This window comes from Homo sapiens, chromosome 12 (assembly GCF_000001405.40).
Source record: "Homo sapiens chromosome 12, GRCh38.p14 Primary Assembly".
Classification (NCBI taxonomy): Eukaryota; Metazoa; Chordata; class Mammalia; order Primates; family Hominidae; genus Homo; species Homo sapiens.
In genome coordinates, this window is record NC_000012.12 from 22,481,024 (window position 1) to 22,494,291 (window position 13,268).

The 13,268-nt window shown below is 34.8% G+C and overlaps 1 protein-coding gene across 35 annotated transcripts in view; it reads right to left on the reverse strand.

The window, feature by feature from the left end:
* The window catches only part of C2CD5 (C2 calcium dependent domain containing 5), a 95,960-nt gene that overhangs the window by 32,441 nt on the left and 50,251 nt on the right, over positions 1-13,268 (reverse strand). For 33 of the 35 annotated variants that reach the window (NM_001385330.1, NM_001385329.1, NM_014802.3 and 30 more), the window contains 4 exons: positions 12,200-12,314; positions 9,100-9,195; positions 3,674-3,865; positions 1,534-1,720 (listed from right to left, as the gene is read on the reverse strand). In NM_001385330.1, the coding sequence (NP_001372259.1) occupies positions 1,534-1,720; positions 3,674-3,865; positions 9,100-9,195; positions 12,200-12,314 (590 nt within the window). Of the gene's footprint in view, positions 1-1,533; positions 1,721-3,193; positions 3,323-3,673; positions 3,866-8,565; positions 8,633-9,099; positions 9,196-12,199; positions 12,315-13,268 lie in introns of all 35 variants that reach the window. The other 2 variants (NR_169598.1, NM_001385332.1) reach the window with 2 other exon arrangements.

The following is a 13,268-nucleotide window of genomic DNA, read 5'->3' on the forward strand; positions in this document are numbered from 1 at the left end:
CAGACTCCTGGGCTTGAACGATCTGCCCACCTCAGCCTCTCAAAGTGCTGGGATTACAGGCATGAGTCACCATGCCCGGCCTATGTATCAAATATTTTAATATGAACCAAGTTACCTAATTATTACAAATTTCTGTCGTTAGAAAACTGTAATACCTAATTAGTTTATCATCATCATACAATTATCCTCTACATACAAAACTTTACATTTTTGCTCTTAAAGAAAGATGAAACAGGAAACAAATGTGCATCTGACCTACAAATGTATAGAGACAAAAAAGTCCAATTCTATAAATTTCTTAAAATTAAATGTCTATGCACTCTCAAAAAGATGGCAAGAGAATTCAAATTTGAAAACTGCCAATAACACAGCCAAAATGCTGGTTAGCAAAGTACCTAGAAAATGAGAGAATTTCCATAAACGTGGTTCATCAGATTCCATATGATCAATACACTTTTTGCAGGCACCTGGTTCTCTGAGTCCTACACTACTTATAGAAGCAGCACTGGCTTTCCTCATTAACATCTTTCCAGTCAGAATTTATTTGCTAACAAGCCAAAATGAACATTAAGCTGAGACACAGCTTTTTCTTGTCTCATATTTCATCGGCACTTAAGAAACACACCTTTTTTTTTTTTTTTTTTTTTTTGAGACAGAGCCTCACTCTGTCGCCTCGGTTGGAGTGCAGTGATGTGATCAGGGTTCACTGCAGCCTCAACCTCCCAGGACTCAATTAATCCTCCCACTTAAGCTTCCTGCCAGCACACCTGGTGTATTTTTTTTTTTTTTTTTTTTTTTATAGAGACAGTGGTCTCACCCGGGCTGGTCTAACTTCTGGGCTCAAGTGATCCTCCCACCTCAGCTGCCCAAAGTGTTGGAATTATGGGTGTGAGCCAACGCACCTGGCCAGAAACACCTGTATTTTATTACACAGTCTACCACTGGCCACAGGTGCACATTTATGATAAAGTTTAATTGTCTGTCCAATAGTGTCTCACATGTTTTGCTTTATCTTCTCCATCAAAACTAAAGATTAATCCACATCCTGGGGTAATTTTGCTCCACTCACCAAGGGACATTTGGCAATTTCTGAAGACATTCTTGTGTGTCACAACTGGGGGGATGCTACTAGCTTATAGTGGGGAATTGCCATGGATGCTGCTAAGCGTCCTACAATGCACAACTCAGTTCCCTGCAACAAAGAGGTATCCTGCCCTAGTACTGAGATGGAGGAACCCTGTTTTAGCAATATGTAAACAATAATAAAGTCCAGAAAAACTGTGGCCAACTTATTAAGCAAGCGACAAATGATAATTTTTAGAAATAGAATTATTAAAGTTGTGATCACAGTCCCTTTAAAATATGTGAAAACCTATCACCAGATTTTTCACTTCTTAAAATGTCCTCGTCCCATAAAGGTCTTAATGTCAAAGTCTTTAGATAAGCCTTTGAAAAGACTATTTGAATCACATAACATAGAATCTACTATAATTAAGGAAATCATAAAACAAAACCAAAAACATCTAAACTTACCGCTAAGCCCATCAACATATTTTCACCCACTGTGATCTGAATTCTTAGTCCAAACAAAGCATTCATTCCTTTGAGTTTTAGTTTATTCATTAGCTGAGTATGCACTTCATATTCCATAAATGGCAAGAGATTACTGATAGCTGTAGCATTTGCTTCTGCCTGTGCTTTCTTTTTTAAGCGACATAACCTGTAAAGGAAAATAAGTCAGTGAACAGTATTCTTGGTACCACCTTTAAAAATGTCCAAATTTTAAAACTTGCTAAAAGTGTGCTGAATAAAACATTTACTTGTTTCTAATGGGCTTACTGAGTTATATCAATAATCTGTTCTGCTTTTTGTCATTGTATAAACTTGCACTAAAAATCCTATTTCATAACAGGTACAAAAAAATAGGAAGAATGAATAAGACCTAGTATTTGATAGCACAACAGGGTATCTACAGTCAATAATAATTGTACAAGTTAAAATAACTAAAAGAGTATAACAGGACTGTTTCTAACACAAAGGATAAATGCGTGAGGGGATGGATACCCCATCTTCCATGATGTGATTATTATGTATTACATGCCTGTATCAAAGTAGCTCATGTACCCTATAAATACATACACCTGTTTACCCACAAAAATTAAATATTTTAAAGAATCATATTTCAATAAAGAAAAATAAAAAATCTTAAAATCTCTAAAAATGAAATAATGACCAAAATCACTAGAGAATATCATTTAAAATCTTAGGTTTTATAACTGCATGTGTTCAATATAAATGGAAAGCAGAAGAAAATGTTAGTCATTAAAAAAAATACAAAAGTCACTTGAGCATCTACTTCGTGCCACATAGGCTACATTCAAAGGGACAGTAATTAGACTAATAGATTATTTCTCAACAGTAGCAATGAAAGCCAGAAGACAGTGGTGAAAGAGTACTTCAATGTGCTGTAAAGAAATAGCTGCCAGCCCAAAATATTTTTTAAGATAAAAGTAAAATAAACACATTTTTCAGACAGACAAAAAAAATAGCTCACCACCAGCAGACCATCAAAAGAAATACTAAAGCGTACATTTAAGGCAAAAGGAAAACAATCCCAAATGGAAGGTCTAAGATTCAAGAGGGAAAAAAATAAATGGATTAGAAATACATTTTAGAAGAAAAATCAACGGACTTTGTAATAAATTTGATGTGGGGAGGTTGAGAAAGAGGACAGTGCCAAAGAATACCAAATTTGGCATGAAGAACTGGATAGAGAAAGGTACCATTCATTAAAACAGAAAAGGCTAATAAGAAAAGTGAAGAAAATCAGCAGTTCAATGTGGAACGCGTATGAGATGCCTATGGCTTATCAAAATGGGGTATGAAGTAGACAGGTATAAGTCTAAAGCTCAAAAGAAAGTTCCGGACTAGAGTTACAAATCTGGGAGTCACAGACACATAGATCTATATAAGTTGATGAGTTCAACTAAGGAGAGAGCTTTGGGCAGAGGGTCCAAACCCATGGCTCTCAAGGATCAAGAAATGAGAAGTCATCAAGGAGGATGAAGATTATACATAAAGGTAGGAAAACATAGAAGGTGTAGCATCATGAAGTCAAAGGAATTTCAAGGCGAAAATAATTAATGGTGTCACTATTGCTGAGATGTCAGAACTAAGATGAGGACAGAAGTACCTGATGGATTTGGTAACCTGGCAGCTGTTGTCATGAGTTCCCCAATTAGGATTTCCTACTCCAGTGCATTTTAAAAGGAACTCTTACCAGCTAATTAAAGCAGTAAAAGAAACACTTCATGGCACTGTTCTTTAAAAGAAAAAAAGAGAGTCAACTTCTAAAATGTGTTACATATTGAATGTAATTGAAGCAATCTATACTTAGTCACATCCCTAGCCTTTGGCAGGTTAATAATTCCCAAAATGACAAATATTTGTGTAGAATTTAAAGTTAAAAACTGCTTTTGTACACAAACTTATTTGAGTTTTACACAGAGGGTTTTTTTTTTACATGCAATAAAATACAAAGTTCCAGCAGAATTGTCCAGTTTGTGCAGGATCAAACAGGTAGGAAACAGTAAAGCTGACACTTAAAAATAGGTTTACGGCTCCCTATCTCATACTTTTTCAGGGACACCGAGTGTTGTTTTCACAAACATACCTTGCTTGAATAAGACAACCTTTTCCAATAACTGTTGCATCTGTTGGGAGGTCTATAGTTGTAAACAGAACATCAGGAACTTTTTGTTTCCTGCAGTTATAGCAATATGTGAGATGAGCTGGAAATGGCATATTCAGTTCATCATATGGTATATGACAAAATCCACAACGTGTAGGCAAATTTTCTTCAAGCCTATATAAATAAATAAAAAAATAAGATATTCTTTAAAAATGTACCAATTTTTTCAAAAATAATTATGTAACTGATATTACATACACAGTACTTGTATACGAACTATCCAACTTCTACTGCTGTAGGCTACAAAAGTACCACTAAGGCTGATAAGAATTGAAAATGACCATGAAATCAGAACCATACATTTTTCCTATGAGAGAAAAGACTTACCAATTGCAAAGTCATTTTGCACCAATTTATTTGTTTGATGACTTACCACCTGACAAACATCACTATCACCCCAAAGTTTTTTCTCTGGGATACAACATTTTTAAAAAATGGTTAGATGATAATGATGACATTTTCCCACTGGTTGACAAATATAACCACAAAAAAAATTCCCAAAGAAAAAAATATTTTGGTTACCAGAGGCTGGGAAGGGTAGTGGCAGGCTGGAGGGAAGGTGGGGATGGCTAATGGGTACAAAAAAATAGAAAGAATGAATAAGACCTAGCGTTTGATAGCACAACAAGGTGACTATAATTGATAATTTAATTGTACATTTTCATGTACCCTATAAATATATACAGCTACTAGGTACCCCCCAAAATTAAAAAAAATCCAAGTGTAATAATTTTTTAATTTAATGTAAAAAAGTATTAAAAAAGAAAAATAGTAAGTCAAAAACAGGCATACTCTAAGATTTCTAATTTCCTATGATAGTTTTAACTTTTTTGAAAAACCAAAACATCTATTTCATAAAGTCATACTAAGCACTAAGTAGCAGGCCTCATGTTTGAATTTCAGTTTGTTTGAATCCAAAGCCAATGTGTTATAAGAGGGTACAAAAGGATGAAAACTGAAGCAATTTTTAACTAAACAGCTCACACAAATTTCAATATTAGTGGTATACATAAGGCATAAAAATAAAAGTATTAAAATTTATGAAAGCATTTAAAATATGAAATGTACACAGGGATTATCCCTGAATAGTGAGATCATAAGGAATCTTCTCTTCCTTCTACTCTCCTACATTCTCCAAATTTTTTTTTGATTCATTTTAAAAATTTAATGAAGAAAACAAGTACTTTGCAACTAAGCATTATACGAGTCAAATGCAGATAGCTATCAAAACATTTCTAAAATAACCAAAGTTATTATACTTAAGTCCTGTTAAGTCCTGGTTTTCCTAATACACATCTTATATTCAAATTTCTCTATGGGATGGGTTACTTAATAAAGTGAGAATCCTGTACTTAGGATCCCTAGTTTTGACCTGCTACTTATCCTGTCTTTTTAAAACCAGGCTTGAATGGAAAAAAAAAAAAAAAAAACACTGCAAAGCACACTCTGAAGCTTTTGCTTAAGGGACAGCTCTACTTCAGCCCGTTCACTGTGGTCACTCATTCCCAGCTACTACACTGCTCTCGTATCGTTGGTTCCTGACTGATCTGCACTCTAGTTTGTTCAGGAAAGTCTAGAGGTGAAGCTTTAATCCTAATCCAGTTTCCTTTCCCCATATCAGTGCCAGAGCATTAGCAGAACCAGTATTTCTACATAAGGGAAAACTAATGAATTCATTTTAAACCAACTTCTTATAAGCCAAGACAAGGCATTAGCTATCAGTCATGACTTCAAATAAATACAACTGCTGAGGACTAGCACATTGCATTTTTTCAACCACAGGTATAACCTGTGCATTTAGGTTATTTTATTTTCCTTTCAGGAAAATACTCAATATAATTAAACATCTGCTCTCTAACATCCTATACAAATGAATGGCTGATGATTTTAGAATCACTGACAGTTTGGTTTAAAGACAGAAGCTCATTTAATTTATTGTTTTTAATAGAATATTTCTTAAATGACATTTTAAGGAAATGCCGAGAATGTTGGTAGAACTAGAGTGTGTAGTGTAAGAAAAAGATGCAAAATTTAAGCCTTCCTTAAACTGCAGAATTAACTTGTGAATGGCAATTATTACTCAATATTGTGATAAAGAGACAACAGAGCCCTCAGAAATAATGCCACGCATCTACAACTATCTGATTTTTGACAAACCTGACAAAAACAAGAAATGGGGAAAGGATTCCCTATTTAATAAATGCTGCTGGGAAAACCGGCTAGCCATATGTAGAAAGCTGAAATTGGATCCCTTCCTTACACCTTATACAAAAATTAATTTAAGATGGATTAAAGACTTAAATGTTAGACCTAAAACCATAAAAACCCTAGAAGAAAACCTAGGCAATACCATTCAGGACATAGGCATGGACAAGGACTTCATGTCTAAAACACCAAAAGCAATGGCAACAAAAGCCAAAATTGACAAATGGGATCTAATTCAACTAAAGAGCTTCTGCACAGCAAAAGAAACTACCATCAGAGTGAACAGGCAACCTACAGAATGGGAGAAAATTTTTGCAATCTATCCATCTGACAAAGGGCTAATATCCAGAATCTACAATGAACTCAAACAAATTTACAAGAAAAAAACAACTCCATCAAAAAGTAGGTGAAGGATATGAACAGACATTTCTCAAAAGAAGACATTTATGCAGCCAAAAGACACATGAAAAAATGCTCATCATCACTGGCCATCAGAGAAATGCAAATCAAAACCACGATGAGATACCATACCACACCAGTTAGAATGGTGATCATTAAAAAGTCAGGAAACAACAGGTGCTGGAGAGGATGTGGAGAAATAGGAACACTTTTACACTGTTGGTGGGAATGTAAACTAGTTCAACCATTGTGGAAGTCAGTGTGGCAATTCCTCAGGGATCTAGAACTAGAAATACCATTTGACCCAGCCATCCCATTACTGGGTATATACCCAAAGGATTATAAATCATGCTGCTATAAAGACACATGCACACGTATGTTTATTGCGGCACTATTCACAATAGCAAACACTTGGAACCAACCCAAATGTCCAACAATGATAGAATGGATTAAGAAAATGTGGCACCTAGACACCATGGAATACTATGCAGCCATAAAAAAGGATGAGTTCATGTCCTTTGTAGGGACATGGATGAAGCTGGAAACCATCATTCTCAGCAAACTATCACAAGGACAAAAAACCAAACACTGCACGTTCTCACTCATAGGTGGGAATGAGAACACATGGACACAGGAAGGGGAACATCACACATCAGGGCCTGTTGTGGGGTAGGGGGAGGGGGGAGGGATAGCATTAGGAGATAAACCTAATGTTAAATGACGAGTTAATGGGTGCAGCACATCAACATGGCACAGGTATACATATGTAACAAACCTGCACGTTGTGCACATGTACCCTAAAACTTAAAGTATAATTAAAAAAAAACAAAGAAATAGCAAACAAATGAGGATAAGAATTTCTATAGGCAGCATAGTGAATTAGCATGAAAAATGACAGCTGACTTCAAGGCAAGACGTAGGAAATCTTACAAAGCATATAAGAATTTGAAAAGGATGGCAATCTAGCATCATTTGATATAGGAACTCTCCAAATTTTTTCTAATAAGCAGTAATAATTTTTATAGCAGAAAGAAAAGGCATTTTCCTTGTTTTTTTCTTTTTTTTTTTACAACTAGGGGTGGCACCTATTGTATTGAACTACTATATAAGAGAATTTATTGTATTCGTCCAAGCCACAATACAGAAAAAAACCAAGCTACATGAAAAAGGTCATTTGTTAAATTAGGCTTCCTATCAACTTAAGAATGAAATCTACAGACGTGTAAGAACTATATTGTATCACTGGTACAACTCACTGACAAAGAGAGTTTCCTCAATAGAATATTCTAATTATTTACTGTGCTTCAAAATGCCCCACCTTCACTTTCCTATTTACAATGACCTTTAAGGCTCTGGAATTCATAATAGTCAATATCCATTTTAATACTGACAAAAGAAACTGACCAAGTTCCTCTAGTGAATACCAGAACTAGAATATCTTAGTTATAAATGCGTGCAAGTTTATACTAAACTTGACAAGATACAGAATTTTTTTGCTTTTTTTTTTTTTTTAAATAGAGTCTCACTCTGTTGCCCAGGTTAGAGAACAGTGGTGCCATCTTGGCTCACTGCAACCTCCACCTCCCAGGCTCAAGCAATCAATTCTTCTGCCTTAGCCTCCTGAGTAGCTGGGATTAGAGGCGCCCACCATCACACCAGGCTAATTTTTGTATTTTTAGTGGAGACGGGGTTTCACCATGTTGGCCAGGCTGGTCTCAAACTCCTGACCTCAAGTGATCCACCCACCTCAGCCTCACAAAGTGCTAGGATTACAGGCGTGAGCCACCGCACTTGGCCTTTGCTTCCTTTCTTAATATATACTTAATATATTAATACTGGGGAGGGGGGAAGTAAATAGGCACACTGTGGCATAAGGGGTAATTAAAATCTGTATTATCCAGGTAGACTCTGGTACCAAACTAATAGTTTATATATGTGTATATATATATATATTTAAATATACAGTCACCCTTCCGTATCCATGGGTTTGGCATGTATGGATTCAACCAATCACAGGTTGAAAATAGGAAAACAATAAAAAATCCCACAAAATTCCAAAAAGCAAAACTTGAATTTGCCACATGCTCAGCATTACACTGAATCCATGAAAATGAAATGATGAACAGGTATTATATCAGGTATTATAAATAATCTAGAGATTATTTAAAGTATAGGGGAGAATGTGCATAGGTTACATGCAAATACTATACCATTTTATATAAGGGACTTGAGCATCTGCAGGTTTTGGTATCTGCAAGGGGTCCTGGAACCAATTCCCTATGGACACGGAAGGACCATATATATTATATCTACAGATAATCTTGATAAAATGCAGTACTTTTACTATTTTGTAAATTAAGAATTGTTTTTTATAAAAATTGTTTCATAACCTCTTTCTGTTTTTGGAGGTGAGACACAGGGAAATGAAAGGAAGAGAAAGATCCAAAGATTATTTCTATATCATGACAAAGCAAAAAAAAATGGACACCTGAAATTCTTCAACTGGTAATCATACATGTCACTTATCAAGACACTAGAAACAATAATGTGTGCCATATAGTGCAGAATCCAATACTCCTCTGTTACTACGGGTTAGTTAAAAATTAGTGAAGTGCTTGGTCCTGATTTCTACACTGTACCCCTGTAAGCCACCCTACGGAGAAGAATTATCCCAACTCTCAGAAAAAAAGTCGACCTCTCCCTTCTCTGCCCTTATAGAAAATAAGCCAGGCTGCCATGACAACCTCTGTTCCAAACAGCCTTCCACGGTGCCATCCTGCAGAAATCTAGGATTCAGTACAGCCGCTGTGCCAGATGCAGATAAAATGCAGACCTCTTCACTATAAAGGAAAAAACACAAACAAGTTAACATTTTTCAGACCGTATAACTTTGGGAAATGCTAAATATCAAAATAATTATAACAGTGACAATTTAAGTTCAAGTTAGACTCTACTCAATATTAAATAATATTTACGAGGTTTACCTCCTAAACCTAGCCTAGAAAACAGAAGTAACTTTATTTGAATGGAGGGAAAGAATTCTTCATAAATTAAAAACTGAAAAAAGATAAAAGTATTAATATTAAAGACAATAACTTCATTTAAAATATGGCAAGGCTGAAAGAATGAAATGTTTCAAAATATAAGCAGTAATAAATTGTATTGCTGAATCTAGCATTAATCAATGAAACTATATTAAAATACTCTTTAAATGTATATGAAGTTTTATTAAAATTATTCTAAAAGCACAACTATGTAAATATCTCTATATAGGTGATTTATATAGCTTAATCTAAATTTAAATCATTATAAAGGTTTCTGAAACAATATACAAAATATACTAAATGAAGCTTAAACTACATCATCATATAACAGAAAACTGATATTCAAAATAATTTTTAAATTATTATATGTCACCCAATTTGAAAGCTAAAAAATTAAACAATCAACATAATTATTGAATGAGATCACCTAAACAAATGAGAAAAGTAGCAACCTAGGGATGAACTGCTGAAAACCAGGTATAAATAAAACCCAGAAATAAAATAAAACAGAAGCCTAAGAGAACAAGGGAGGAACAGTCACTTGAACTGTAAATAAAATAAAGGAAGACCAGGCTTAAAGTGTAGGTAGGAATTAAGGATGTCAGAAGGAATAACATGAAACCACTGATGTCTTCGAATCAAGAAGTTATAAGAGCAGAAGTGCATTTCAGAGAGTTTAATCCAGTAACAGAAAGTAGCATGGGCTGGAACAGAAAAGATTAGTTAAAATTTAAATACACAGATGTTTTTGAGGTCTAGAAAGGACCTCTGTCAGATGACATCTGTCAGATGAACTCAAACTTCTAGGTAAATTAACTGAACTCATTTGCAGACTCCTCCATCTGTGACCTATCATCAGCCATCCTGAGTCTACATCCTGTGGCCTTCTTTTTTTTGCTACTCTTTTAAGTGTTGAATGCATCTTGTAAGCTTTGAAACCTCTCCTTATGCCTCTTCTTTTTATTTATATAATTCATATTCATCCCCCAAAATCCAACTCAAGCATCAGTTACTTCATTGACATTTTCTTCCAATTCTACTTTGAGCTTTCAGCCCTCTAGGATCCCAAAGCATCCTATATCTCAATCTTAAAATTTATTTTACATCATAATTATCCAGTAGAATGTAAATGTGATACCAAGAACTATGCCTTCTAAAACCATATCTCTGGCCGGGTGTGGTGGCTTACGCCTGTAATCCCAGCACTTTGGGAGGCCGAGGTGGACAGATCACGAGGTCAGGAGTTCGAGATCAGCCTGACCAACATGGCGAAACCCCATCTCTACTAAAAATATGAAAATTAGCCAGACAGGAAGGCAGGCACCTGTAATCCCAGCTACTAAGGAGGCTAAGGTGGGAGAATCACTTGAACCCGGGAGGTGGAGGTTGCAGTGAGCCAAAATCACACCATTGCACTCCAGCCTGAGTGAAAGAGTGAAACTCTATCTCAAAAAACAAAAAAAAAAACGACAACAACAAAAAACATTTTTCTAAGGCCTCAAAGTTTATGACATTAAAACCATCAATGTGGCAAGACAACTAGGGAGTAAGGCAAGATAAGCTTGACAAAGTTAGTAGTTAACAAGAGTAGAACCGCTACTATGGGAATAAACAGTCTAGGAGTATAACACATGATCTGCAAAGGAAAAGAAAAGCCCACAGAAGATTAAATAATATGGCTCTGTAATGACCACATTTACTACAGTTTAATTCTTTTTCCCTAACAATAAGGATCACCACAAGAGCAGAGGATCTAACAGTAAGAATTACCTAAGAATAGATGGTAGAAAAATAAGATAACAGAAGGTTAAACAGTTTCTAGATGATATCAACTGTAAACTTCTGAAGGGCTGAAAGTAGGGTTCAAGGATGGCAAAAGAACAAAAAAAGCCAGAAACTAAGTAAGGAGCTGAGAAAACAACTGGTTAAGGTAAGGGTCAAAACAAACTAGATATAAAAGAGCAAATGATATTGGTAGAAAAACGTTAAGTTGTGATCTGAGAGTAAAATTTTATAGTTTCAAAATTTTAAGGCGGAACAGTTTCAAGTGATACTGAGGTCCAAAATATGGTTGAAAGTTAAGTGGGGTCAGACGACTTGAGAATAAGAAACTATAATGCCAGCTGCTAGGATGAACATAATCATATGTAACTGGAGGAGAGAGCAGCGAAGTAACTAAGAAAGGCAGACGAATGCTTTGGAAGTAGATAATGGAACAGTAGCGTGGCATGTACTTTAAAGGAGGAGATTGTTCAAATGAAGGGAAGGAGAAAAAGGAATTGAGAACCAAGTGTATGAAAGCCCCTTCCTAATTTGTCAGTATTAGGAAGAATGATTTGTTAGCAAGAAACGTTACATTACAGTAGGTAAAAGGAGGCAGAATGAGTTTATGGACAAACTTTAAAGACACATTGCAATTCGTTTACAGTAGATCAAGGGTTCCAAAGGTTCCAGTGGAAGAAGTTGATACAGTTACATACTAAAGGAAGCCTAGAGTTAATATTTGCTGTGTGCCAGTATTATATTCTCATTTAATCACTGATGTAAATGATTAATTGATCTGTGGTATTATCTCCATTTTAATGTACAAATTGAGGCTCAGAAGAGTTAAATAACTTTCTCAAAGTTACACAGTCACTAACTGGCAAAGACGGCATATAAACCTTAATCTAATGTACTCCAAGGCCCATGCTCCTGAACACTTCGCTATTCTCTTTTCTTTTATTTGCATGAAGCTTTTCCCCTTTCAGATGGCAGTCTAAATTAGTGTCTGGAAAATCAAGTTGTTATTATCATTTACCAGATGCTAGTTGATTCACTGTAGCCCACTACAGCATGACAGCCTAATGCTTTAGCATGTGATTTTATTTCTTGTCTGATTTCTGCCCACCATGCATCTCGAGTTTCTGGTTCATCTGAAAAATAAATTTTAAATCAGTTTATTACTCAATAGCACATTATATATATGAACATGAAATGTTTAAAATAAACATACTATGGGAAGTAAAGAAGTTTTATTCTATAATGGATTTTTAAACTTCCCATCTTTAAAATGCTACTTCTCAAAAGGCATAAGATTTAACCTTTTAAACTCAATTGCTGGAAAACAAACCACCTATCTGTATTTGCTTTATTACTTTAACAGATATCTATAGGAATATATGATTAGATATAATTTTAAATGTAGACCCAGAGTTTCCAAATTCTAATCTTAGCTATGATTAGAATTTTAGAATTAGACTAAGAGGATATTCTACATCTCACCTCACTGAGTGAACACCTTATGTGTTATATCCATAAATTTAACTTTAATTCTGATTTCATTTCTTGGTACCTATTTTTATAACTCACTATATTGTGGGTTCTTTCCAAGGCAAAGATTTGTCAATGTTAAAAGAGAGAAAGCCATCTGTAAGCCATCCTTCTACAGAGATGTGGGTCTTTAGGCAAAATACAAGAAATTAGAGACTAATTTAAAAAAAAAAAGAAAGAAAGCAAGCACACTTAAAATATTAACACAAATAATTTGGTAATGTATATAAGGAAAAATTTCAGATATAACACTCCATGTATTGGTCTGTAATTTTAAAAAATGATTTAGAGTCACAGAATTCTATTTTATTACCAGAGAAGTCCAATATTGCTTGTAATGGAGCACTATAAATGAAGCATCTGTCATACATATTTCCTAATCACTTGCATTTAGCTGCAAACTACTGGTGACAGCAGCTGCAAATTATAGTAACATTTTATGTACAATGTGTTAAAAACAGAAAGTCTATAATTAGCATATCATAATTTATTTCTTTTTGTGGCCAATTCTCATTTGGGAATAACTTGAGATAGAAAAAAAAATCAACTCTAGATAG